The sequence below is a fragment of the Homo sapiens genome, chromosome 7 (genome assembly GCF_000001405.40).
Source record: "Homo sapiens chromosome 7, GRCh38.p14 Primary Assembly".
In the NCBI taxonomy this organism is placed as follows: Eukaryota; Metazoa; Chordata; class Mammalia; order Primates; family Hominidae; genus Homo; species Homo sapiens.
The window spans coordinates 80,523,044-80,550,652 of NC_000007.14; the positions used below are offsets into that span (position 1 = coordinate 80,523,044).

Genomic DNA, 27,609 nt, shown 5'->3' on the forward strand with positions numbered 1-27,609 from the left:
GTTCAGGACTCTTTGGAATATTTATGACAGAGTATGAGAATGTTAATACAAATCAGGACAAGTCCATAAATGCTTACAGCCATTTATCTCACATGAATACAACTATTTCTGTTTCTCCTTCCAGATAGGAATGGAAAAAAAGATTTTCACGAAATCAGTGGCCACACACTATGTACTTGAGGTTTTGTTAATTTGCTCTAGCAAAGATACCACAATGGGCAAAGCAACTGCAATTAATGTTACTACTTAACTCCACTTGTAGCAGTACTTTGTCAACTGCCAGGATCTGTTTGGCTTGTACAGCTAGTCTCCTAAATTAAATAAGATATGATGGGGTCCACTATTCCTGAGTCCTTCATATATTTATGCTGACAACAATGTGTGCCATTTCCTCTATGGTGCAACATAGGTTTCATTTATTTTACTGGATGGTGTATTAGTCTGCTGAAGTTGCCGTAAAAAAATACCACACACTGGGTGACTTAAACAGCAGAAATTTCTTTTTCTCACAGGTCTGGAAACTAAAAGTAAGAGACAAAGGTAGCGGTGGGTTGATTTTTGGTGAAACCTCTTCCTGACCTGTAGATGGCTTCCATTTTATAGACTGGCTACCCTTGGCCTCCTAATGATTACTCTTGATGCTTCTGATTGTTTATATTGAGCAATACTCATGTAAGAAGCTCATTTATTTTGCTCCAAGAACACTGATCATTTCTACTGATCATGTCCATAGGTCTCTGCAAGTCCGGATCTCCTGGCTGCTGCTCTGACTTTGACTTTCATTACCACATTGTATTTACTTCAGTTATCATAATTAAATGCTAGCACCTGGCCTCTATTGTTTGGGGATCTTATTATCCCCATGCTTTGAAAGGATGCTTAGCTGTCGAGAAACACTTTCATCAAGTAGTGTAGTTTCAAGCACATTTTTAAAATTATTTTTTCTTTCCTCCTTTCCCCCAGTCTCAAGATGTAACCTTGAAACAAACTTTAAAAATATTTTTCCTTAGTCTTAAAATATAGCCTTGAAATGTACTGTGAAACTGCACTCCTGTCACTTTCCCACATACACTCCTTTATCCCATGCACATTTATCGAACTGTGTGTTTGTTAAACTTACACAATGCACACATCTAACTATACGTTTAAGAAATTCCAGGGGCTAACTTAAAACAAACCAGGCATGAAGGCCCAGCTGCGGAATTCTCCTCCATGTAAAGATTGGCTCAAGTTGGATAATCTACAGCTCGGTAGCTGTCAGGATGATGCCAGGCCGCACTCCAGGTGGGCAATAACTCAAAATAGGCATTGGAGCAAAACAGACAGCCCCTATACTCTACACAACTTCTGCATGCCTCCCATGTCAAGCTTCTCCTTTTTTAATCCCTGTCCTCAGCCCAAACTTTTGAAATGATTTTTTTGTTATCTTTTTTTTTTTTTTTTTTTTTGAGATGGAGTCTCGCTCTGTCACCAGGCTGGAGTGCCGTGGCTCAATCTTCTCTCATTGCAACCTCCTCCTCCTGGGTTCAAGCAATTTTTGTGCCTTGGCCTCCCAAGTAGCTGAGATTACAGGCACGTGCCACCAAACCCAGCTAATTTTTGTATTTTTAGTAGAAATGGGGTTTCACCAGGTTGGCCAGGATGGTCTCAACCTCTGATCCGTACGCCTCAGCCTCCCAAAGTGCTAGGATTACAGGTGAGAGCCACCGCGCCCGGCCTGAAACGATTTCTTTAAGACAAGAGACTTGACCATTTTCCCACTGCTAGCTCAAGAATAAAATCACTTTCCTTCCACTGCACTTCCTTCTTGTTCACTGGCTTGGCAAGCGGCAAGCGGCAAGCGGTGGAACCTGCCTTCAGCTACAAGAAGAGGTCTGTTACTGTTTTTTCTATTATCAACCCTGGCTGAAATCCCTCTCACTAGTGAATTCCTTTTAAATTTCAGTACACATAAAGCTTTCTGGCAACTTCTTGAAGTCTGATTTATTTTCCAGCCTTATGTATTAATATTATTCTTTCTAATATGTCAACTCTGAGTCTTTTGCCACCTTCCTCTGCCGTTTGTCATAGGACAACACTATATTCAGGCTTCCAAGAGTCTTCGTAGAAAACATTAATGCTATCTCTCAGGGTGTTGAATCTGATACAAAAAAAGGGTTTCTCTCTGATATGTCTTCTTTATCCAACTTTATGTGTTATCTTCCTTTAATTCAGCACTCTTAGAACACAGTATCTTTCCTGAAATTTCACACTGGCTAGCTTCTGCAGCTCTTTTGGTATATGGTGGTCCATGGTCTCTTTCTTCTGTTAGCAGGTCCAGAACTTGCCTGACTAGGTATGGTGTAAGTAGATTACAGTTATTAACTTGTTCTCCAGAAGGAGAAGAAAACATAGATCCCCACTAAGGTTTAAGGTGCATGTTATCTTATGAGACAAGAGCCTGGGCATTGGCTTCATGCAAGAGGGATTGCTAGCCTTTAAAAAGGAAGTATGCCACATCTTCCAGCCCAAAGGGTCCAGGGGAATTTAAGAATTCAAGATCTTTTGATGCATCAGCCCAGGCATCCTTATTCTAAATCTCAAGGTCCCACTCCTTCCCAGTGAAGACCTTGATCTTGTTGTAGTAGATTTAAAAAGCTTGAAAATTCAGTCCTCTCTGGAACTTGCTATCTTTCTCATTAAGTCCTGCACCTAATCATTGTGTTTTCAAGCCATTTCTCCACTCCAGGAGATAAATGCTTGTTTTTATGCAGCCAAAAAGTCCCTCTGGCTTTTACACTTTACATTAAATTAGTGACTAACCACCATTGGCCTTCCGTTGTCTTTCTCTAGTGGATTGGTAGTTCTCAGCAAATAGCCATCAGTGCTATAGTTCTTTTTTTTTTTGTCTATTGATTTTTCTTTATATATATTTTTATTTTTTTTATTATACTTTAAGTTCTAGGGTACATGTGCACAACGTGCAGGTTTGTTACATATGTATACATGTGCCATGTTGGTGTGCTGCACCCGTTAACTCGTCAGTTACATTAGGTATATCTCCTAATGCTATCCCTCCCCACCATGGAATACTATGCAGTGCTATAGTTCTTAAAATTTCCACTTTCCCTACACCTCTCAAACTGTGAAATTTGACCCATCATTGCCTCTTACTCAGATCACATTTTAGGTCACTATCAATGAAAGTTTAAAAAATTGTTCTGCTACTGCAAATCAGGAACTACAAGTAACACACCTACAAGTAGTAATGGGGTCCTAATTGCCCAGCTGGTTGAGAGGTGGGGTTCGGGCTGGATAATCTGGTTTCAATATCCCTTTCTAGAGTCTGCATCCTAGGACCACTCCTGGCACCAACTCTCTTTGATTAGGCTTCCTGGAAACAGAGTCTAGGGCAGATATTTGCATAAAGTGGGAGAGTGATAAGATACGCCATCGGCAGATATACCTGTATAGAATGAAAAAGGCAGGCAGCAGAAACAGTTGAACTACAGTGGAGGTACAAGAGAGTCCTCTGCTGATTCTAAAGGGAGTCTATAGCTGGGAAAACTCTTCAGAGCTAAAACTGAAAGGAGCGTGAACCCTCATGCTCCCATTATCCGAGTCATTGGATGTGGCTGCCCTCAGTTATAACCTTGGCCAGGGAAGTCCTTTCGGTTAAGGACAATTTCTGGAAGGAAACTCAGCTGTTAATACTTCCAGTAGCTGTAAGAATGAGTGTCTTAGTCATGAAAGGGGTTTTAGGTGGTATAGCAGAATATTAACTCCAGTAACATTTGGGCAAAGACATTAAAGAAATTAGGAAATGAAAAACACAGACATCAGGAGAAAGACAAATCTGAGCCAAGAAAATAATAATTGCAAAGTCTGTGAGGCAGGCACTTGCCTAGTGTATTTGGAGAACTGCAAGGGAATCTGGGTGTCTGGGGTAGAGTGGGTATGGGAAGAGTAGTACACGAGGAAGGTGGAGGCTGGGTGCAGTGGCTCACGCCTATAATCCCAGCACTTTGGGAAGGCGATGCGGATGGATCACTTGGTCAGGAGTTTAGACCAGCCTGGCCAACGTGGTGAAACCTAATTTCTACTAAAAGTACAAAAAAAGAAAAAAAATTTAGCCAGGCATAGAGGTGGGCGCCTGTAATCCCAGCTATTTGGGAGGCTGAAGCTGGAGAATCTCTGGAACCCGGGAGGTGGAGGCTGCAGTGAGCTGAGATCATGCCACTGCACTCCATCATGGGCAACAGAGCAAGACTGCATGAAAGAAAAGAAAAGAGAAAAGAAGGAGGGAAGGGAGGGAGGGTGAGAGGAAGGAAGGGAGGAAGGGAGGAAGGAAGGAAGGAAGGGAGGAAGGGAGGGAGGGAGGGAGCATTAGTGGGCACAGGTGTGGGCTGTCCAGATCACTGAGGGACTCTTAGATTAGGTCAGGACTATGGCTTTTCTCTGTGAGAGACTGAAAACCATTGCAGGGTTTTGAGGAGTGGAGTAAACTGATATGAACATGTTGAAGATATACTGAAGTGATCTAGGGCAGAAATAGAAAAATTAGAAAAAATTTGCAATAATCCAGGTGAAGGCAACATGATGTAGGCTAGATGATCACGATGTTAAGAAATGGTGAGATTTTTGGTACATTTGACAGGTAGAACTGGCAGGATTTGCTAAAAGATGTGATGTGGGGTTTGAGCAAAAGAAAGGAGCCTGAGTAATGGTAAGGAAGAATGTGCTATATATTGGGGTGGAAGGAGGCTAGATAGCAGCAAGATGGTGGAGTAGGACTTCCAGTGCTTACCCCTCTGCAGAATCATCAATTTGAATAACTATCCATGAATGAACATGCCTTCGCAACAGCTAGAGAAACCAGGTAGAAAGGTTACAGCACCTGGGTATAGCACAGAAATAAGAAAAGGCACATCAAAGAGATTAGGAAACAGTTTTACATTACTCATTACTACCTCTCTCCTAACCCCAGGCTGCATAGAGTGGAGAGAGATACCCTCCGCATGGGAGAAGAGAAAAGCAAGCAAAAGGCTTTGCTTTGGACCCCCAAATTAGGCTCATGTCAGTAAAATTTAGCACTGGCCAGTCCCCCACCGCCATCCAGGCTGGTACCCTCAGACCAAGCCTCCAGGTCCATTCAATCACCAGGCTGATCCCATCAGCCCCAGCACCAGGCCAGTACCTGCAGTCCTAGTTGTAACCTGCTATACAGTCTCCAGGCCTCCCTAGCATCAGGTCTCGCCCTGTAGCCTCAAGCTCCAGGCCCACCTCAGCCTCCATACCAACCCAGAACAAAGTCAGCTCACATAGCTCCAGGTTTCAGGCCCACTTCAGGGCCAGGTTGACTTGACACCCCCGGTTGGTCTCAGTCACCAGGCCAGCACTCATAGGCTCCAGGCCTGCCCAGTGCCAGGCCAGCTCCTGTAGCCCCACCCTCCAGGCTAGCCCCTGTGGCCCCACGTTCAAGCAAACCTAAGGTTTAGGCCTGTTCCAGTAGGTATTAGCACTGAGCTGGCTCCCAGGAAGTCAGGCTCTAAGACTACCCCTGTAGTCCCAGATTTCAGGCCACTCTCACAACCCCAGACCCAGGCAAGCCATCACAAACCTAGCCTCCAGGCCAGTACCCACACAGCCACCTTCCAATCTGGCCCTCACAGGTCTAGCTCCAGACAGGTCTCAAAGGCCCCAGACTCCAGGCTGGCACTCATGGTCTCAGGCCTCCAACTGGCCTCTATCAACTCAGACTGTATACCCGCCCCAGCACCAGGCTGGCCTCAGGTTCCAGTGGATCCAATGTCCAGACCTGCTCCAGTAGACCAAGGATCTGGTCCACCCCACTAGACTCTAGGGTCAGGCCAGCCCCCATGGACTGAACTTCCATGACCACCCTTACAGAGCCAGCCTCCAAGCCAGCCCCTGTGGATTCAGGCTCATGTCTTACCCTGGTGCCAGGTCAGCCCCTGTAAACCCAGGCTTCAGGCCAATCTCCGTAGAACCTGGCAGGCCCACTCACCTGCTGAACCAATCAACTAAGATTCCAGCAGTAAGCCTGACCACAGACTACATACTACATGACTTCCCCAGAATCTCTGGATAGGATCACTGGTGAAGGATTTTCCCAGACAAAGCCAGTCTGCAAAGACTAAAAATGTTCCTACTTCTTCAAATATGCAGACACCAATGCACAGACACAAGGATCGAGAAAAATCAGGGAAACATGGCACAAACGAACAAAAGAAATCACCAGTAACTAACCCTAAAGACATAGATATTTATGTCTATGTCTACCGCCTTAAAGAAATTCAAAACAATTGAGATGGGAAAGACTGTAGCGAGCAGATTTGGAGGAGAAAAACTGCTATAGTTTGAACGTGTCCCCCAAAAGTCTATGTATTGGAAACAATCCCTCTGCTTCCAAAACAAGCTCTCTCTGGCTCCCTTGCTCTTATTCTCTCACATGTGATGCTATCTGCCATGTTATCATGCAGCAAGAAGGCTCTCACCAGACGTTGATGCCATGCTCTTGGAATTTCTGGTTTGAGAATCACGAGCTAAATAAACATATTTTCTTTTTAAATTACTTGGTTTGTGGTATTCAGTTATAGCAACAGACAGTGGACTAAGGCAGAAAATCAAGACCTCAATTTTGAATATAATATGTTTGAAATAATTACTAGCCAAATTAAGTGTTCAAGCAGGCCATCTCACATATGAGACTAGAGTTCGGAATCATGGCTAGAATGTAATTTTGGAGTCATCAGCAATTGATGGACTTTAAAACTACAAAAGGAGCTGAGATAATCAAGAGATTATGTAAAACTAGAAAAGAAAAGAATTCCAAAGACTGTGTCCAAGATAACTTAAAGGAGCTTAAGAAGTTGCAGCTAATATGAATATTAAAAAGTCAGGAGAATGTACTCTTTTCCTAGAAGCCAAGTAATGAAAAGGTTTTAAGAGAAGGGAGTGATTCAGTCTGTCAAATACTGGTGAATGGTCAATTAAAAAATATATTGAAAATTAATTCTTGAAACCAGCCAGACCTATAACATTTTCAGCTGGAGTATCACTTGAGGGACATGTACTACATTTCAAAATATTTGTTATTAATCAAGCTAACAGACTATTAATGAAATATATTTTTTCCTCTTACTTAGAAAAAGTAACTTCATAATGCTGTAAAGAGCCATGCTGAAATTTAGCACTCTTTGACTTTTAGAGCTCTATGCTGAAGTGTGGAACTGCAAAAATCCTGGCCCATTCTTCCCCCATAGGAATTGCTAACAGCAGCTGTTTGCAGGAGATTAGCAAACTTGCTTGTATAAGAGTTCCATCATGGCAAAGCACAGAATTGATAGGAGGAGAAAGGGGCTCTTGGCCTACTGTTTGAGCTGGAACATCAGTCTTTTCCTGCTCTCAGTAATCCTAGTTCTTAGACCTTCAGACTCTGTCAAGAATCTACATCATTGGCTTTCTGGTTCTCATGCCTACAGACTACGTCAACAGTTTTTCTGGGTCTCCTCCTTGCAGGCAACAGATTGTAGGGCTTCTTAGTCTCCAGAATTGAGTGACTCAATACTCAACAATACATCTAAGAACTTATGTCAATGTATTTAAATTATGTATATATACATTTATCACCCATACTAATTAATAAACTGTAGAGTTTGGAACCAGAAAAATCTGAATTATACTCCTGGTTACATCATTAGTTATAAGTGGCTTAGTGAATACTAGCACCATGCTATGCTTCAAATGTGCCACCACCTGAATTCAGGTTTGGCCAATGGGATAGTATTAAGAGGCAGGTCCTTTATGAGGTTGATATGGTTTGGCTTAGTGTCCCCACCCAAATCTCATTTTGTAGCTCCCATAATTCCCACGTGTTGTAGGAGGGACCCAGTGGGAGATGATTGAATCATGGGGTTGGGTCTTCCCCATGCCGTTCTCGTAATTGTTGATGGGTCTCATGAGATCCGATGGTTTTAAAAACCGGAGTCTCCCTGTACAAACTCTCCCTTTGCTTGCTGCCATCCACGTAAGATGTGACTTGTTTCTCCTTGCCTTCCACTATGACTGTGAGGCCTTCCCAGCCATGTGGAACTGTGAGTCCAATTAAACTTCTTTCTTTTGTAAATTACGAGGTCTCAGGTATGTCTTTATCAGCAGTGTGAAAATAGACTAATACAGTAAGTTGGTACCAGTAGAGTGGGGTGTTGCTGAAAAAAAGACACCCAAAAATGTGGAAGTGTCTTTGGAACTGGGTAACAGGCAGAGGTTGGAAGGGTTTGGGGTGCTCAGAAAAAGACAGGAAAATGTAGGAAAGTTTGGAATTTCCTAGAGACTTGTTGAATGACTTTGCCCAAAATGTTGATAGTGATATGGACAATAAAGTGCAGGCTGAGGGAGTCTCAGATGGAGATGAGAAACTTGTTGGGAACTGGAGCAAAGGTGACTCTTGTTATGTCTTAGCAAAGAGACTGGTGGCATTTTGCCCTGGCCCTAGAGATTTGTGGAACTTTGAACTTGAGAGGGATGATTTAGAGTATCTGGTGGAAGAAATTTCTAAGCAGCAATGCATTCAAGGAGTGACTTCGGTGCTCTTAAAGGCATTCAGTTTTATAAGGGAAGCAGAGCATAAAAGTTTGGAAAATGTGTAGCCTGACAATGCAATAGAAAAGAAAATTCCATTTTCTGAGGAGAAATCCAAGCTGGCTACAGAAATCTGCATAAGTAACAAGGAGCCGAATGTTAATCCCCAAGACAATGAGGAAAAGGTCTCCAGGGAATGTTAGAGGTCTTCACAGCAGCCCCTTCTATCATAGACCCAGAGGCCTAGGAAAAAATATGTGGTTTTGGGGGCCGGACCCAGGGTAGGGTCTCCATACTGTGGGCAGCCTAGGGACTTGGTGCCCTGCATCCCAACTGTTCTAGCTGTGGCTGAAAGGGGCCAACATAGAGCTCGGGCCACGGCTTCAGAGGTTGCAAGCCCCAAACCTTGGCAGCTTCCATGTGGTGTTGAGCCTGCCAGTGCACAGAAGTCAAGAATTGAGGTTTGGGAACCTCCACTCATATTTCAGAAGATGTATGAAGATGCCTGGATGCCCAGGGAGAAGTTTTCTGCAGGGGCAGGGCCCTAATGGAGAACCTCTGCTAGGACAGTGCAAAAGGGAAATGTGGGGTCAGAGACCCCACATGGAGTCCCTACTGGGGCACTGCCTAGTGGAGCTGTGAGAAGAGGACCACCGTCCTCCAGTCCCCAGAGTGGTAGATTCACTGGCAGCTTGCACCATGTGCCTGGAGGAAGAGCTGCAGACACTCAATGCCAGCCTATGAAAGCAGCTGGGAGGAAGGCTGTACCCTGAAAGCCACAGGGGCAGAGCTGCCCAAGAGCATGGGAACCTATCTCTTGCATCAGTGTGACCTGGATGTGAGACATGGAGTCAAACGAGATCACTTTGGAGCTTTAAGATGTGACTGCCCCGCTGGATTTTGGACTGGCAGGGGGCCTGTATCCCCTTTGCTTTGGCCAATTTCTCCCATTTGGAATGTGTGTCTTTACCCAATACCTGTACCCCCACTGTATCTAGGAAATAACTAACTTACTTTTGATTGTACAGGCTCATAGGCGGAAGGACTTGCCTTGTCTCAGATAAGATTTTGGACTGTGGACTTTTGAGTTAATGCTGAAATGAGTTGAGACTTTGGGCAACTGCTAGGAAGGCGTGATTGGTTTTGAAATGTGAAGATATGAGATTTGGGAGGGGCCAGGGTGGAATGATATGGTTTGGCTCTGTGTCCCCACCCAAATCTCATCTTGTAGCTCCCATAATTCCCATGTGTTTTGGGAGGGAGCCAATGGCAGACAATTGAATCATGGGGGTGGGTCTTTCCCATGCTAGTCTCATGACAGTGAATGAGTCTCATGAGATCTTATGGTTTTAAAAACAGGAGTCTCCTTGCACAAGCTCTCTTTTTGCCTAGTGCCATCCACATAAAATGTGACTTGTTCCCCCTTGTCCTCCCCAGTCATGTGGAACGGTGAGTCCAAGAAACCTCTTTCTTTTGTAAATTGCCAGTCTTGGGTATGTCTTTATCAGTAGCATGAAAATAGAATAATACAGTGTTGGGGTGATGAGACCCAACACCAGGTCGTGGGGGCGATGAAGTCCAGCAGAGTCAAAGGATTGAGAAAAAGACAGTTTGAGAAGTAAAGTGGGACCGGGGGCCATCGCGATTGTGGAGGCTGCGAAGGCCCTTAGCTCTGGGAGCCCACACTATTTACTGGTAATCCAACAAAGAAACAGGTTGTAAGAATGTGGAGGTCAAAAGGGCAGGTGCATGATCTACAGCTGTGATGGTTTAGCATTTATATGGAACATGTTCTGCTACTTGAGATAATGGGAATACAATCGATCTCAGAGCCTAGGAGGGCTAGAAGCAAGGAGCCAGCAAGTCCAGACACATTCCAGAGGACATTATGTCAGACAGGCAAGCCCTGCCTCAGTATTTTTCCCCAACACTCAGCTTTTCCCCAACAATACAGAGGTGATTAGGCAATGAGGTCTCCTCTCTGGTAAATGGGATTAAGGCCCTTAAAAAAGAGGCTTCATGCACCTTTCACTTTTCCTTCCACCTTCTGCCAAGTGAGGACACAATGGTCCTCCTCTCTAAAGGACGCAGCCCTCACCAAACAACCAAACCTACTGGCACCTTGATCTTGGTCTTGCCAGGCTTCAGAGTTGTGAGAAAATACATTTCTGTTATTTATAATTCCCTGGTGTGTGGTATTTTGCTATAGCAGCACAAATGGAGTAAGTCAGTCCATTTACATTTGATCCTTTCATGAATTTCTGTAGGCAATAAGATGGAGAGAATATTGTCAGGAGACATAGTTCATACTTCTGCCAGCAATACTGAGGATGTTTGAATTGCAGGACAACCATATTTGCCAAAAAGTAGTATTAAGAAATTCAGTTACTGGTTATGATATGGAGAAATGAATGCTCTTAAAATATTTGGTGGAAATCTAAATTGTTTTAGGTAAATTGACTCTGTCAACTTCAATTAATATTGATTTTAACATAAAGAAACAAAAATACGGCCGGGTACAGTGGTTCAAGCCTGTAATCCCAGCACTTTGGGAGGCCGAGGCGGGTGGATCACGAGGTCAGGAGATTGAGACCATCGTGGCTAACACGGTGAAACCCCGTCTCTACTAAAAATACAAAAAATTAGTCGGGCATGGTGGCGGGTGCGTAGTCCCAGCTACTTGGGAGGCTGAGGCAGGAGAATGGCATGACCCTGGGAGGCAGAGCTTGCAGTGAGCTGAGATTGTGCCACTGCACTCCAGTCTAGCCTGGGCAACAGAGTGAGTCTCCGTCTCAAAAAAAAAAAAAAAGAAACAAAATACTGGCATATATTAGTTTGCTAGAACTTCCATAACAAAATACTACAGACTGGGTAGCTGAAACAATGGGGATTTATTTTCTTACAGTTCTGGAGCCTGGACATCCAAGTTCAAGGTGTTGGGAGTTTGGATTTCTTCTGAGACTTCCATCCATGGCTTGCAGATAGCTGCTTTCTTGCTGTGTCCTCACATGGTCTTTCCTCTGTACCCATCCCTGGATATACTATTTTCTTGGTTATTATGTAATCTTGTGAAAATTTTTACTTTCCTTCCTTATAAAATTAGAGACTTACAAAGCTCTTTTGAATATTAGAAACTCTTAGCATGGTTCCTGGAAGACCAATATAGAGCAGCATTTATGATTTTTCCAGTTGAAGAAAGATACATATCCTGAGATCTGGAGGCAGGAATTTCCACAGACATAGGTGAGATTGAGAGACAGTGTGGTGAATTACCATGAACAGGTCAGTTTGATTTGAGAATTGTGTGTGTAGAAGAGCAATAAAAGACAAATACATATTTAAAAACTGATTCAAATAGGATTGTGGCTGGCATCAAATTCCAAGGTAAGGGATTATGGTACAGGTTGGAAGGAGCTAATAGATATTTTTGAGTAAGGAAATGGCCAAGTAGAAGCAGCATTTTAAGAAAAAAATATACCTGTGCCATACTATATAGGTTGACAGAAAAGAAAATAAAAATAAAGAATCAAGTAAGAGTCCTATTACAATATTTAAAACATTAGAAAATAAGGATGAGAATTAGGGTACTGAACTGAATATGGGGAAGTAATTTTAAAATGTCCAAATACTAGAAATAATATCAAGAAAAAGATAATAATAGATGCTTGATGGGAAAAGAACATGGAATGAAAATTTGGTGCTGTGAAAGGAACACTATTTTTGGAGTCAGAGAGTCTTGGGCTCAAATTGTGTCTTCCCTAGTTTTGTGCCTTTAATCATATACTCAGCTCATCTGTAAAACAAAAGTAATCATGCCAGTGAGTTTGCTATGGTCTTGTAATATAATAAAATAGTAAGGCCTCTCTTTTGTTCTAAATTGGGATAATGTTAACGTAAATGAACAAGATTGGGGGTAAAGGGAAACACATTTGAAATACAAAATAATAAGACTAACACTTATTTGTTTGATTTGATATGATGGCAGGATCTCCATAAGAAAGCATATAATAGGCATTTGAAAATTCATGACTAATACTCAAGGGAGAGATCATTATTTTATTTTAAAAATGAAGTATGTTTTAAGTATGGGGAGAGAATTAAGGCTCAGATGACACCAAAGTTCAAGGTATATAAATATGGAATTCTTCATCTTTAAGTTCAAACCAAGATGAACTCTATTTAGATCATGGTAATAGTTTTTCTAGCTAGCTGCTCTCACTTTTCCTATTCAGTCTCCATAATATGGCTAAGTATATTTTCCTATGCCCCCTTTAAAAACCTCCATAGTTTTGGAGGTTGACATTCTCATCTCTCTGCTATATGACTCTAATACACCCTCCTCGTCCTATATCTTATCACATTTCTGTTATGTTCTTTGCTGTTCCAGGCAAAATCTCCCAGGACTTTTGAATTATTTATCAAAACATACTCTTTGTCCTAAAATGTGAAATGTCATCATAAATCTCATGCATTTTCAGGATATCAGAGTGTATTTATTTTAAAATTGAAAATTTGTGCGATGTAAAATAGAACATTCCTTCTAGGTGTGCATGGATCTAGCAGTCAATTAAATTTATATCTTGTTATTTGTTGAATCAAACAATTTGAGTCAGATGCAAAATATGTAAGAATCAGATTGACCTTCCTTTGTTTTAGCTTCAAGAAGTAGTGCAAACCCAACCTTTTCCTATAATGGGCAACAATGAACCATTGGGAGAATGTAGAGAAAGTCTTTGTTATCTTCCATGGAGTTTGCTTAGTATGGGCAACTGACATTACTGCACAACAATTGGCTTTTATTTTACCTAAAACCAATCCCTTTAAAGAGAGAGTTACCTTAATGTGAAGTGAGCAAAATCATTATTTGCATCATTCTACCTTACTTTTAAGAGTTCATTTCTTCTCTCTCGGCACATTCCTTCTTAAAACTCAGAGGCCTCCCAGAACTTCCCATTTTCAAAATACACTTCATCGAAACTCTTCCACTAGACAAAGCACCATAACTCAGACCTATTCTATATCTGAAGAAGGAAGTTATCAAAGCTTTCTTAGTAAGCATAATGGGGTGATAGACAGAACTTTCTGGGCTTAAGTTTTCTTAACTACACATGATGATATCAAAATCTATTGTCACAAGTGAGTGAACTGGCACATGGCAGTTGTTCAAAATTTTATTCTTCCTTGTCCTGTGACAAAAAGAGTTGTCCCGATAGCACCTGCCTACATAATTAATGATGATTATATCTCCAACACAGTTCTTTTATATTGCGTAGCCTAATGACAGGTTTGTTAGACTTTCCCATCAGTATCCTGTTATGGATGCTGTGCCCAGCCAGACAAGACTGGACTTACCCTCCCTAGTTGCTAGAATGCTAACAGCAGAGAGTTGTCATTTCTCTCTAGAAATTTCTCTCGGCCAAAAATGTCTACCTTACCCATGGTCACACACTTCTATGAGGGATAGCCTATGTCTAATGACCGGTGCCTCAAATTGGGATAAATCTGAAGGCTCATCCCAGCTTCAGAGCTCAGTGTGGAGTTGGCTGAGACTTTGTTACTACTGCACTGAAGCCCATTTGCAGCCCTTCTCTGTGTAATTCTGCCACTGTCACTTCCCCAACAGGTGTTGACCCTAAGCTTCCTTCATGTTAGCTTGTTTTAGAGTCAGCTTCCCACAGAACCACATCAGAAACATACTTTAAGCCAAGTATGTCCAAAGCAGACAACCACCACCACCACCACTACCACCTCCAGCAAACCTGTTCACACCGCATTTTATGAGTTAAATTGTACTGTCTTTGACTCAATTGCCCAATGTATCCTATTCATTTTCACTTTGTTCCCACATTCAAGGAAACAGTCTTTCCATTTTTAACTCTATAATTTCTCTCCAGCCTAAGGCTCATTTCCATTCATATTTCTCCTGCTTTTGTTCAGACAGTTCATCCCTGACTTACTCTAGTAACATATTAACTGGTTTCATATTTTCTTATACTTCCTGTTCAGTATGTTTAAAATATATTATTATCGATTCACATGGAGTATTTAACACACAGTGATTTCACCAAAGCCACATGGACACACTTGTGATTTACAATAATTTTGAGGACAGATTATTAGATTGTCTGTTCAAAGGATCACCATTTCCTCCACACACACAAAAATTAAGGTATTGAGAAATATAAACTTTTAAATAACCTTAGATAAATTCCCCAATGATGTTGTATTCCCAGAAACCAAAGTCATTTGTGTTGTTATTATTCTTTCCACTCGGCAGTGAATGGGTTAAAGATCACTTTCTAAAAGCAAGTCTTGCTAAAAATTAGAGCAGAAGGCCATGAGGACTTAGAAGCATGTAAAGGATATGGAAAGGAGGACACCAAATGGGAGCAATTGGGCAGAAAAATAAACTGGTGTCATAACTGACAACAGTAAATGTCCAGTTTATTGAGAAGTGGCCTTCCTACCACTCATTTTCTTCTGAAACTAATTGATCTTATTTATTGTTACACTCTTCTCATCATCTTCCTTCACTATGACACTCCTTAAGTGTCCTTGGAGAAAAATACATCTATGGTTTTGCTTGCATTAACAGTTTTCCAAGTAACTCACAAGTGAAGAATATCATAAGTTAACTGGACATGTTCAGACACATACCTTGGGGAAGACACACACACACACACACACACACACACACACACACACAGTCATTCATGCAGGCTGCAATATCGAAAGCTTGCTTGACTTGGCTACTCAATTTAATCAGCAGCAGTTTGCCTTATTACTTATTGCATTATCCACCTCTTGCCTAACTTCCAGTCTCTTTTCAGGTCACCATCCCAGAGCTTCTTGTAGAGTTGGCTGAGACCTTGTTAGAATTCTCCATACGTATCCTGTTGTGACACTAACAGGAAGTTCTAACACCACACTCCCTCTCTAGTCACACTAAGCATCTTAACCTCACAGATATACATTTTTTCTCTGCCCTCTAGGATACTGCACAAACTGTTCCCTATGCCTTGTACTTCCTCACTGCCTTAAACTCCCCCAATTTGGACAGCTCTTTCTAATCTTTCAAGTGGCAACTTTGACGTCTTATCCTCTTAAAACAAAAATTTTAAAACCCTCTCTACTACCCTAGACTAGATCAAATATTCTGTTATGTTTTCCCCTAAAACTCTTGGCTTACCATGCTAATAACATTCATTAATACATATAATTGAGTAATTTCGTTTTTAACTCTTCAAACTTAGGCTCCAAAAGGACTAGAAATGTTATTCACCATTGTAGTGGTGGATCTTGACATAATGCCTGACATATCAGAGACATTCAAAATTTTTTGAAAGAATGAGTGGTTTCTGTATTGAAATGAGTATTCTTTTTGCTCTCTTGAAAAAATAAAATTGTTGCTTTGAATGTGGTTAAACATAGTTCTAAGATATGAACATTAATTTTTTGGAATGTTTTTCTCTTGAAATTATTGATTTAATAGAATTGTATGGCTCTGCATCTGTCAAAATAGAACCAGTCATACTTGCATTAACAAACAATGCCAAAACTCAGTGACTTGAAATAATGATTTATTTCTTGCTCACTGCTATAGTCTAAATATTTATGTACCCCAAATTGTATATGTTGAAACTTAATCCCCAAAGCAAGAGTATTTGGAGTTGGAGCCTCGGGAGGTATTTAGGTCACGAGGGCGGAGCCTTCATGAATGGCCTTAGTGTCCCTACAAAAGAGCCTCCAAGGTGATTCTTTGCCCCTATTACTAGGTGAAGACACAGCAAGAAGGCTTCTTTTGGCCGGGCGCGGTGGCTCACGCCTGTAATCCCAGCACTTTGGGAGGCCGAGGCGGGCGGATCACGAGGTCAGGAGATCGAGACCATCCCGGATAAAACGGTGAAACCCCATCTCTACTAAAAAAAATACAAAAAATTAGCCGGGCGTAGTGGGGGGCGCCTGTAGTCCCAGCTACTTGGGAGGCTGAGGCAGGACAATGGCGTGAACCCGGGAGGCGGAGCTTGCAGTGAGCCGAGATCCCGCCACTGCACTCCAGCCTGGGCGACAGAGCGAGACTCCGTCTCAAAAAAAAAAAAAAAAAAAAGAAGGCTTCTTTTACAAGGAAGTGGCCTTATCAGACACCAAATCCACTCGTGCCTTGATCTTGGGGTCACCAGCTTCCAGAACTGTGAGGATTAAATATTTGTTGTTTATAAATCTACCAGTTTTTGGTGTTTTTTATAACAACCAGAATGGATTAAGACACATTATATGTGAATACAATTACACGGAGAGTATTCATAGAATAGGACAGAATGCTGATGATAGAGTTTTGGGGGAATATTTAAAAAGTAAATAAAAATTATCTGTATTTAAGTGTAATTACATGATAATCATTTATATCAGTTTCTCGTCCACAGAAATGCATTTATATATACCGTTACATGAACAAAAGTAAATAATTGGGTGTTTCAGAATATTTAGATATCCAAGCTATTGCCATTAATGAAATTCTTCTATAAAACTAAGTAATTTATCTTTTGCATTATTTAACTATTTTCTCAAAAGAAGTGATTATTTATTTAAATTTCCAGTGATCCTCTAGAATAAACCCGTATAAAAGGATATAGTCTTTTTATGTATATGCATTAGTGAAAATGGAAATCTTTCTCACAGGAGGCTTTGATGACAGTTTGTAAATTGCTTGCAAGTTACTACATTTATTTCAGGTTTCATGTTTTAGATTAGTCCTAGTAAAATTCTAAGACCTTATTTATTTTTTTGAAATATCTCGTTATTACCAGTTTTTTCCAGATATTTGTGGAATTTTTGTCTTCCTAACTGATGTGCTAGTATTCTCTAGATTATTTCTCACAAATACAGATAAAGTCTTACTTTGAGAACTTTATTGTTAATGCTTTTAACTACTGAGAATGCAGATTATGGCATTGTGTTAAATGACAATATAAATTATCTCCGACTATTGCTCAACTTCTTTCTAGTTTAGCCATTGACTTTCTTCTTCTGTAAGCAATATTCTCAAGGCAGGACCAATTCTGCTAATGAGTAGAATAGGCAGATTGATGCATATCTGATAGAATTTAAGTGATTTCAAATTTCTCCTCAGACTCGTCCCAGTGTCTCACATTCCTACATTAGCTATACTTTTAAAAATTAACTATTTTGGTACTTTTATAAAGTTAACTCATTAAATAAATTTGTTTATTTGGTTTCGCTATGTTATTGGTTTCTCTGTGTTGTTCCCCTGTTTTTACTATTCATTTCTCAGAATTTTAAAGAACAGTGTCACATTGTTGAGCTATTTTAAAACTGTAAATAGAAAGGAAAGGAAGAGAGAGACTTCAGTCCCAGGCCAAAAACTATTAGCACAGCTGAAATCAATCACTGTCTTTCTTGTTCCATAGGAATTACTACTCAAGGGACCTTCAGAAAGGGTCAAGGAAAGCTATTTTTCTTCCCACGACTTGGAAATACATCTTCTTTCCTATGATGAAAGGGATGTGGTGTGTGTGTATATATATGTATTTTTTTTTTCAGAATTCTATCGTATCTATTTTATTTTATATATATATATATATATATGTATCCCTCATTCTTACTCCTCATTTCATTCACTTATTTTAGCATCTTCCAATAATTCATCTTTCTAATTGATAAAAAGTAAAAGATGGTAGAAGTCACTCTATTCCATTAAAATTATTGCCACACTGCTTGAGCAAGATTATATGTCTCCAGAATTGAACTGAGGACTTCCTGAGTAGAGTGATTCTATTTTTTAAAAAGCTTTCATAGTACCTGGCACATCAAGGCCTTCAATAAGTCTTATTAGAGTAACGAATGGACATATGAATTGATGAGAATACTTTAAAACATTACATAATTGTTAAAGAGATTTCTGAAAGTCATAGAAAATCTATTCTTTTGAGTGGTTTTAAAGATTTAAAATTGATTTCCCAATAAATGGATGGTTCAAAATACTCAGATAAATTCACAGGACTGTTGTGAGTAATCAAAAAGGTAACAATTAATAAAAATGAACAATAAGCAACAGAAATAAATAATTTTTAAGTAATAAATGTTTTAATATAGGTTAACAAAGTATTTCTCTGTGAAAGACACTAGATGCTCAATAAATGAACTACACTTTAAAAAAATGTTTTCCAAGATCTTCTCAACAAACAAGCCATGATATACCAACTATAAAGGACAGATAATCTGCTGACCAATTCCATCAAGCAAATCACATCCACATCAGTCAAAGTAGGCCATAATGGGGGCACCAAAAATCTCACGTGGGGAGATTAATCACACTTTATGGGAGGCTTTTGTGTATAAAGGTTAATTTGAGGTCGTCTTTTCTGAAGGGACATCACAGTAGCTTCACAGTTATATGACTAATGAGTTTTGCTTTTATTCCTCTGTCCAGTTACTTCTTTAACATGACTATATCTAGTCTTAACTGTCCTCAATTCATCAACTCTGGGGCCCTTAAACACGGTTGAAATTATCTTTGTAAACAAATGCAAAAAATATTTATGAACATGTTCTTTCGCCTTTCTTCAAAGGCATTAAAAACCCTTACGGTGCAGACTAGTACTAGATCTCTAAGACAAAAACGCAAAGGAATCACGTGAAAGATAATATTTAATTAAAATTTCAGTTTTGTTTAGGACACCAAAGGATTCCAAAACCTTAAGCTAATTCACCCTCAATCAGTGATTTAGTCATTCTTATATAAATAGTTGTAGACAGATGAGAATAAAAATGATTCTATTTTTGCTAAATTTGCTTGAAATTTTTGCAGAGAAATCCCAAGTTGTTCATTTATGTCCTTTTGAATACTCCTTACCATAAATTTTCTTGCATTTTATTTTCTTATTAGGCAATGGGCATGCAGAGCACAATACTTGGGCATTATTGGACTGATAAGAATCTGTAAAACATTTTCTTTCCTTGATGAAATCTGCAATTTGCCTATAGCCTGATTTCCTTAAGGCTTTTGCCTATTGACTCATCTTTGACAACCAGCCAAAAGGAATTTCAAGACAAACACAAAGTGAAGAGTCACAGTCAGCTTTTTCTACACTCTTGGGAAAGCCTTTCTCGGTACAAAGTTATTCTTGATTTCATTTAGCTAAAAATCCCAGCTAAAATCCATAGAAAAATGTATGGAATGGGAAATTTGGGGGTTTGGGGTTATAAATTTTTTGAAACCCATTACATCTTCCTAAGGCTGTAATTTCTGTTAGAACCTATCCTTTCTGTACTTCCTTCTCCCTCCCACTGGATTCCAAGAGTCTTCTTTCTTTCCTACTTCTCAAAAAACAAACTATGGAAGTCAGGCCACTTACCTGGAAGATCCTTCTGAACAGAAAACATGTTTAATTTTAATTTTAACTTTTTTTTTTTTGATACTGGGTCTTGCTCTGTCACCTAGGCTGGAGTGCAGTGGCACACTCACAGCTCACTGCAGCCTTGATCTCCTGGGCTCAAGTGATCTTCCCACCTCAGCCTCCCTAGTAGCTGGGACTACAGGGTTACACCACCACAACCAGCTAATTTTTATATTTTTTGTAGAGACAGGATTACCCAGCCATGTTGCCCAGGATGGTCACGAACTCCTGGGCTCAAGTGATCCATCTGCCTCGGCCTCCCAAAGTGCTGGAACTAAAACAATGAGCTGCCATGCCCATCCTGACATGGTCTTAAAAAAGATTTAAAATATTTTTTAAACCTTTATCTCCTCTAGAGTCCCTAAGGAATAGGAGATCCTTAAAACATATTTATTGGCTATCTGACTGCATTCCTAATTAAAGGTCCATATCAGTGAGAAAATAAATGAATACATGAACATATTTATTGCTACAGATAATTTTCTACCTTGCCCTCTCTTATATTATTTCCAGTTATTTTAAGAAAACAGTCACAGTAATTAGCTATTTGCTTATTCTTCACTGTATTTTAAATTAAAAAAAATTCTTAACAGTATTTTAATTTATAACTTAATAATACTTGTTAATTTAAATGCCTTAAATTGACAACTAGGTAAAAAAAAAAGTTACCAAAACACTGGGGATTTTGTCTAGGTCCTGCTGCTCACCACACAGAAAACCAGTCACTGAGACAATGAGTATTGTCAGGGAAGAAGGCTTTAATTGGGTGCTGTGGCTGAGGAGATGGGAGGTCAGTCTCAAATCCATCTCCCTCACTGACTAAAATTAGAGGTTTATATAGCAGGGAAGACATGAAACCATGTGTGGGAAAATGGAAATTAGAGATGGACAAGGCAGAGAAATTGGTCAACAGGCAGCAGGGTGGTGCAGTCATGTTGGGTGAGGAGTCTGGCGTCTCTTTGTCTAGGTGCAGTGATCTGGTAAGTTTCAGCTCCATGGTATAATCTGGGAGGCCTGATAGCTGGTTTCCTGAGAAGGTAACTCAGGTAAGACAAATGTAACTCTCAAGTTGTAAGACTGGGAGGATTAATTTCTATGTTTACTCCAAGAAATTATAAACATCAGTTCTATGGAACAGTTGGTCTAGTTTCAAAACCTAGTGTGCTCTCATAAATATTTGAAACCAACATTGTTTTCTTTTTCTCTCTTTTTTCTCCTTTCCTTTGTGCTTTGGAAATATTATGCTGAAAGAAAACACAATTTATTTAAGTCGAGGAAGTAGTTTTCATAGAGAGTAGAGTACAGTTTCTTATGATTCTTCATCTGCTCCTATAAGGCTTTCAAGAAGGAACATCCAGAAATTGTAAGCCTTAAACAATTGAGCAATGCTTTATTTTGCTTTCTGTCTCATAGAAGGTCTACAGATTCAGTTATAATAAGAAGGAATTAAATCATAGGTAATTGATATGGTTTGGCTCTGTGTCCCCAATCAAATCTCATCTTGTAGCTCTCATAATCCCCACTTGTTGTGGGAGGGACCCAGTGGGAGATGATTGAATCATGGAGGCAGGTCTTTCCTATGCTACTCTTATGATGGTGATTGGGTCCCATGAGATCTGATGGTGGTTTTAAAAACAGGAGTTTCTCTGCACAAGCTCTCTCTTCACCTGTTGCCATCCATGTAAGATGTGACAGTCCTCCTTGCCTTCCACCATGATTGTGAGGCCTCCCCAGCCACATGGAACTGTAAGTTCAATAAACCTCTTTCTTTTGTAAATTGCCCAGTCTCAGGTATGTCTTTATCAGCACCATGAAAATGGACTAATATAGTAAATTGGCACCAGTAGAGTGGGGCATGGCTGAAAAGATATCCAAAAATGTGGAAGCAACTTCAGAACTGGGTAACAGGCAGTGGTTGGAACAGTTTGGAGGGCTCAGGAAAATGTGGGAAAATTTGGAACTTCCTAGAGACTTAGTGAATGGCTTTGACAAAAATGTTAATAGTGATATGAACAATAAGGTCCAGGCTGAGGTGGTCTCAGGTGGAGATGATGAACTTGTTTGGAACTGGAACAAAGGTGACTCTTGTTATGTCTTAGCAAAGAGACTGCTGACATTTTTTGCCTGCCCTAGGGATTTGTGGAACTTTCAACTTGAATGAGATGATTTAGAGAATCTGGTGGAAAAAATTTCTAAGCAGCACAGCATTCAAGAGGTGACTTGGGTGCTCTTAAAGGCATTCAGTTTCAAAAGGGAAACACAGCATAAAAGTTTGGAGAATTTGCTGCCTGACAGTGCAACAGAAAAGAAAATCCCATTTTCTGAGGAGAAATTCAAGCCAGCTGCAAAAATTTGCATAAGTAATGAGGAGCCAAATATTAATCCTTAAGACAATGGGGGAAATGTCTCTGCATTGTGTACAGCCTAGGGACTTGGTGCTCTGCATCCCAGCTGCTCCAGCCATGACTGAAAGGGGCCAATGTGGAGCTCGGGCTATGGCTTCAGAGGGTGCAAGCCTCAAGCCTTGGCAGCTTCCACATGGTGTTGAGCCTGCGAGTGCACAGAAGTCAAGAATTGAGGTTTGGGAACCTCTGCCTAGATTTCAGAAGAACCAAGAAAATACCTAAATGCCCAGGTAGAAGTTTGCTCTAGGGGTGGGGTCCTCATGGAGAATCTCTGCTAAGGCAGTGCAGAAGAGAAAGGTGGAGTGGGAGGCCCCACACAGAGTCCCTACTGGGGCACTGCCTAGTGGAGCTGTGAGAAGAGGGCCACTATCCTACTGACCCTAGAATGGTAGATCCACTGACAGCTTGCACCATGGGCCTGGAAAAGCCACAGACACTCAACATCAGCTTGTGAAGGCAGCTGGGAGGGCGGCTGTACCCTGCAAAGCCACAGAGCCAGAACTGTCCAAGACTTTGAGATCCTACCTCTTGCATTAGCGTGACCTGGATGTGAGACATGGAATCAAAGGAAATCATTTTGGAGCTTTAAGATTTGACTGCTCTGCTGGATTTCATACTTGCATGGGGCCTGTAGCCCTTTGTTTTGGCCAGTTTCTCCCATCTGGAATGGCTGTATTTACTCAATTTCTGTACCCCCATTGTATCTATCTAGGAAGTAACTAAGTTGCTTTTGATTTTACAGGCTCATAGGCGGAAGGGACTTGCCTTGTCTCATATGAAACTTTGGACTGTGGACTTTTGAGTTAACGCTGAAATGAGGTGAGACTTTGGAGGACTGTTGAGAAGGCATGATTGGCTTTGAAACGTGAAGATATGAGATTTGGGAGGGGCCAGAGATGAAATGATATGGTTTGGCTCTGTGTCCCCACCCAAATCTCATCTTGTAGCTCCCATAATTCCCAAGTGTTGTGGGAGGGACCCAGTGAGAGATGATTGAATCATAAGGGTGGGTCTTTCCCATGCTGTTCTTGTAATAGTGATTGGGTCTCATGAAATCTGATGTTTTTAAAAACGGGAGTTTCTCTGAACAGTCTCTCTCTTTGCCTGCCTCCATCCACGTAAGATATGACTTGGTCCTCCTTGCCTTCGGCAATGATTGTGTGGCCTCCCCAGCCACGTAGAACTGTAAGTCCAATAAACCTCTTTCTTTTGTAAATTTCCCAGTCTCAGGTATGTCTTTATCAGCACCGTGAAAATGGACTACTACAGTAAATACACTTGTCAGGGGTACCAATTTTAAAATATGAAACCTGGAGGATATAATGTTAAGTGAAATAAGCAAGGCACAAAAAGACAAATACCACATTATCTCACTCATATGTAGAATCTGAAAAAGTTGATGTCATATAAGCAAAGGGTAGAATGGTGTTACCAAGGGCTGGGGCAGTTGAGGAAAGGGGTCTGGGAAGATGTTGGTCAAAGGATATAAAAGTACAGTTAGATGGGAGGAATAAGTTCAAGAGCTCTATTGTACAATATAGTGATACTATTATGTATTACAATATGATTAGTAATATATAGAACTCTTGAAAAATGCTAAGAGAGTGGATAGGTGTTCTTACTACAAAATATATAACTATGTGAATGAATTCATATGTTAATTAGCTAGATTTAGTCATTTCACAATGTAAATACACCTTGAAACATGTTGTACATGATAAATACATACGATTTTATCTGACAATTTGTAAAAATTGACAAAAGTGATAAAAGAAATAAACAAAATAGAACTATAAGAACTATACTATAAGGAGAATGAACAAAATGGAAATAAAGATATTGTGAAGTAAGGTATTAAAATTAATGGTATAAATATCTGAGAAAAGCCTGGAAGTTTATGAAATATGTGGAAAAATAGAAGCTTGAAATTTTATGCCTAGGAGATATTTAGAGATTATGTAAAAGTACATATAAACATTTTTATGTCATGGATCAAAAATCTGGATATTTTTCTCAAATAAACCATCAAATTTAGGGCCAAGACAAAATTAGAATCCAGGTTTTCCTACTTCAAGTCTAGTGGAAGATCACTTTAAAAAGATCTTTCAGGCCATTAACATAAGCTCTCTGACTACAGAGATTTTGTAGTCACCTTCATTGTGGTATCTCTAGAGTCTAGAACTAGACCTGACCCCTGGATTCGGCACTCAACTAATGTTAGCGAGATACATGAATGGGCAATAAATACATTAATTCATTAAGACCTAATTTTTGAAGGGTTTGTGATAAAGCTCACATGTTAAATAATCAAGGTCCAGGTTATGAAAGCCCTATAATATGTGATGTTATTCTCTTTAAATACTTGTAAAATTTTAGTAACTAGATTGAAATATATGTTAACTATTGATATTTTAATGTTTGAGATATGAAAATGACAGTTTCTTGTTTCAACTTAAAAATCACTGATATAACTTTAACAACAAATAATTCTAAGAATGTGAAGACAATAATAATGCTATATCATTTTAGAAAAATAATCTATAAGCCATACTATTGATGTCTGATAATGGCCAAAGGGTTCTTTTATTTGATTAGGCTGGGTAGTTTAGCATATGAATCATCCTGAGAGCTTGTTAAAATAGAGATTTCTGAATCCCTACCAATTAAGATTCTGGCCTAGAAAATCAAGTCTAATTCCTTGGCCTGGCATTCAGGTCCCTTGTATCAGGTCTTGGCTTTCCTATCCAGCACCATCTCCTCACCAGCCTGCTCTGTCCCCTTCTCTCCCAATCATACATTTTTGCATTCTTAAATCTCTTAATTCTATCTGAAATGCCATACCAGTTTGTCAAATTAATAGACTTATAAGCCCTTTCTTCATAAATTTATTATTTATTTATTATCCATCTCCCCCACTAGCTAGTAAAACCCTCTGTAGCAGTACCATTGCACTGGCATTTACCAAGACCCTGGTACATTTTTCTGGTAAGTAGAATGTGACCAATAATTATTTGTAATATGCATAATTGAATGGCATTTGTCCACTTTGTTTAGTATAAAGCCAAGTAATATAAATATGAAATAGAAATACATATTCTATGCAGAGGAACTGCAGAGAGTATATTTGTTCTACAAGAATGAGGGGTAGTTTTAGGAAAGGTGTTATTGAATTGGTAACAAGTCAGGCTTGAGTTTGTGACTGAAGGCTAGGGATTTTGTCCAGAAGCAATTACTCACTAAGGTTCTTAGTTTTAGCTTTCTCTCATTCTTACTCTCAAATTGGTACATGTCATAAATATTTTTTTCATTAACTTCCCAACTATTAATGTTGGTAACTATCTACCCCTTATCATTGTACAAAAGCTCATTTTTATTTTCTTAAGTGGTAGTTCTGTCTGTTCACTTGTTCCTTTAACACAACTAGTTTACTGTGATGAGTCTTGTTCTCTTTCATAATGAATTCCTATTAGTTATCCATAATTATCCCAGAATCTGTGCTCAGTATAAGAGGGAGTTGTCTTTTGGAAGCATCCCAGAACCTTTGACTTGCAATTTATAACATTTACTTAGTGACACAAAAGAAAACAAACAAAAGGACATTTTTGAATAACCCCAGAAACTTTCCCCATTAATATCTAATTTTAGATTATATCAGTTCCTGCTATTGGAGGTCTTGGAGGCTGCCAGTTCACATAGTGTTTTCAAATTTACAGCACAAGGCAATGAGAACATATGGGACCAAAGTTCTGTTTTTCATATTCTCCATTTTAACCTTTCCCTTTGAAATTTAATCAACATGAAAGGAAATAAACACTTTTTGTCTTCCTTGTACAATGGGAGTGATATCCTCCTCCATTTCCCCAGTGATAGTCAGGTTCCAGATAGCTGCCTTTAATGGCAAAGTTTAAATCACATTGACTCCTATGAGCAATTTGGCAAGTATTTTTACCAAGCACAGGACAACTGCTAGAGCCAAATGGCTAAATACTTCTCTAAGGCTAATCATAGAATTCACAATTCAACTTTGGAGTAAAACAGCTGTGTCAAAGAACTATTTGACATTTCACCTGCAATGTAACCCAGAAGAAAAAATTAATTACACACAGAAGACTGAAATTCGTGGAGCATTGTTTAGATATCAAAAACTGGGATTTGCATTTCAGAATATTTTCTGAACAATTATGAGCATGTTAAATTGGAAAGGGAAGTCAACAGAGAATTGTAAGAAATCCACTAATTTTTCTGAGCTGTTTCTCCTGCTTCCTGGGAGATAAAGGACTTCTGAAAATCTACACGTCTCAAAAAGTTTACTCATTTCTTTGATTTGTTAAAAAAACCAAAAATCATTAAATATCTATTGTTCCATTCCGATTTTGTGTGAAATGGTATTGCCTAGATATTTACTCCCTAGAGTGTTTACACTTAAGGGCTCTACATTTTATTGACATCAAAATTAAAAACAAATGTTTTCATTCTTTAACCTTAGAGGGGAAAAACTATGCTAAATCTAAGAGAAGGAAGTTTTACCTTTCTATGATTCTATTCTTTTAGTGAGTAATGTCTTTTGAGTCTCTGTTTTTTTTTTCAAGGAAGACTTTATCAATTTACATCAATTCCTAGTTCAATAAGTCTTAAGGCAGATATAATTATTGTTTTCCTTAATTATTTGTTGAGATATTTTCATTCTATCCAAATGTTTTGTCAGTCGTCACATTCTCTTTCCAAATAATTTCAGCAATTAGATTATTGCATCATTTAAGAAACTTTTCTTCCCTATATAATGTAAAATACAGAGACATTATTTTAAGTAGCAATTGTTCTTATTTATTGAGACCACTTGTGTATAAGGTACCATGCTAAGAACTTTGGATACGCTATCCTCAACTCAGTGTTTTCTCATGTAAAAAGGGGATAATAGAGGTGTTTACCTCACTATTTTGTTGTGTGAAATAAAGCATTTTGAACAATACTGACCATATAGTGATTTCTATGCATTAAATATTACTTAAAATTATACATCAATATATTACTTAATAGAATTGTCCTATGAGGTAGGTAATTCTTAACATTTAAATATTGAGGAAATTGAAGCTAAGCAGTTTAAGTAATTTGCTCAATTTTACAAAGTAAGTAGAGGAGCCAAAATTAGAATTCATGTCTCTCTAACTCCAAAGCCCAAGTTTGTAATCTGCATCTCCTTTTGC

The 27,609-nt window shown here is 39.5% G+C and overlaps 1 long non-coding RNA gene across 1 annotated transcript, besides 3 other annotated features; it reads left to right on the forward strand.

The window, feature by feature from the left end:
* The first annotated feature begins 1,803 nt into the window (after positions 1-1,803).
* On the forward strand, positions 1,804-23,624 carry LOC124901685 (uncharacterized). The gene is made up of 3 exons (XR_007060402.1): positions 1,804-1,872; positions 23,148-23,224; positions 23,497-23,624. It is a non-coding gene; the product is annotated as an uncharacterized LOC124901685 (long non-coding RNA).
* Positions 5,490-5,989: an enhancer, noted in NCBI's record as "H3K27ac hESC enhancer chr7:80157849-80158348 (GRCh37/hg19 assembly coordinates)". NCBI's record gives its function as "activates a minimal SCP1, AML or CMV promoter by ChIP-STARR-seq in naive and primed H9 embryonic stem cells {active_cell/tissue: H9 hESC(naive and primed)}" and the evidence as "EXISTENCE:reporter gene assay evidence [ECO:0000049][PMID:30033119]".
* Positions 10,126-10,627: an enhancer, noted in NCBI's record as "NANOG hESC enhancer chr7:80162485-80162986 (GRCh37/hg19 assembly coordinates)". NCBI's record gives its function as "activates a minimal SCP1, AML or CMV promoter by ChIP-STARR-seq in primed H9 embryonic stem cells {active_cell/tissue: H9 hESC(primed)}" and the evidence as "EXISTENCE:reporter gene assay evidence [ECO:0000049][PMID:30033119]".
* Positions 10,831-12,030: an enhancer, noted in NCBI's record as "MED14-independent group 3 enhancer chr7:80163190-80164389 (GRCh37/hg19 assembly coordinates)". NCBI's record gives its function as "activates an origin of replication core promoter dependent on BRD2, BRD4, P300/CBP and CDK7 cofactors, and independent of MED14, by STARR-seq in HCT116 cells {active_cell/tissue: HCT116}" and the evidence as "EXISTENCE:reporter gene assay evidence [ECO:0000049][PMID:35650434]".
* Positions 23,625-27,609: the final 3,985 nt, after the last annotated feature.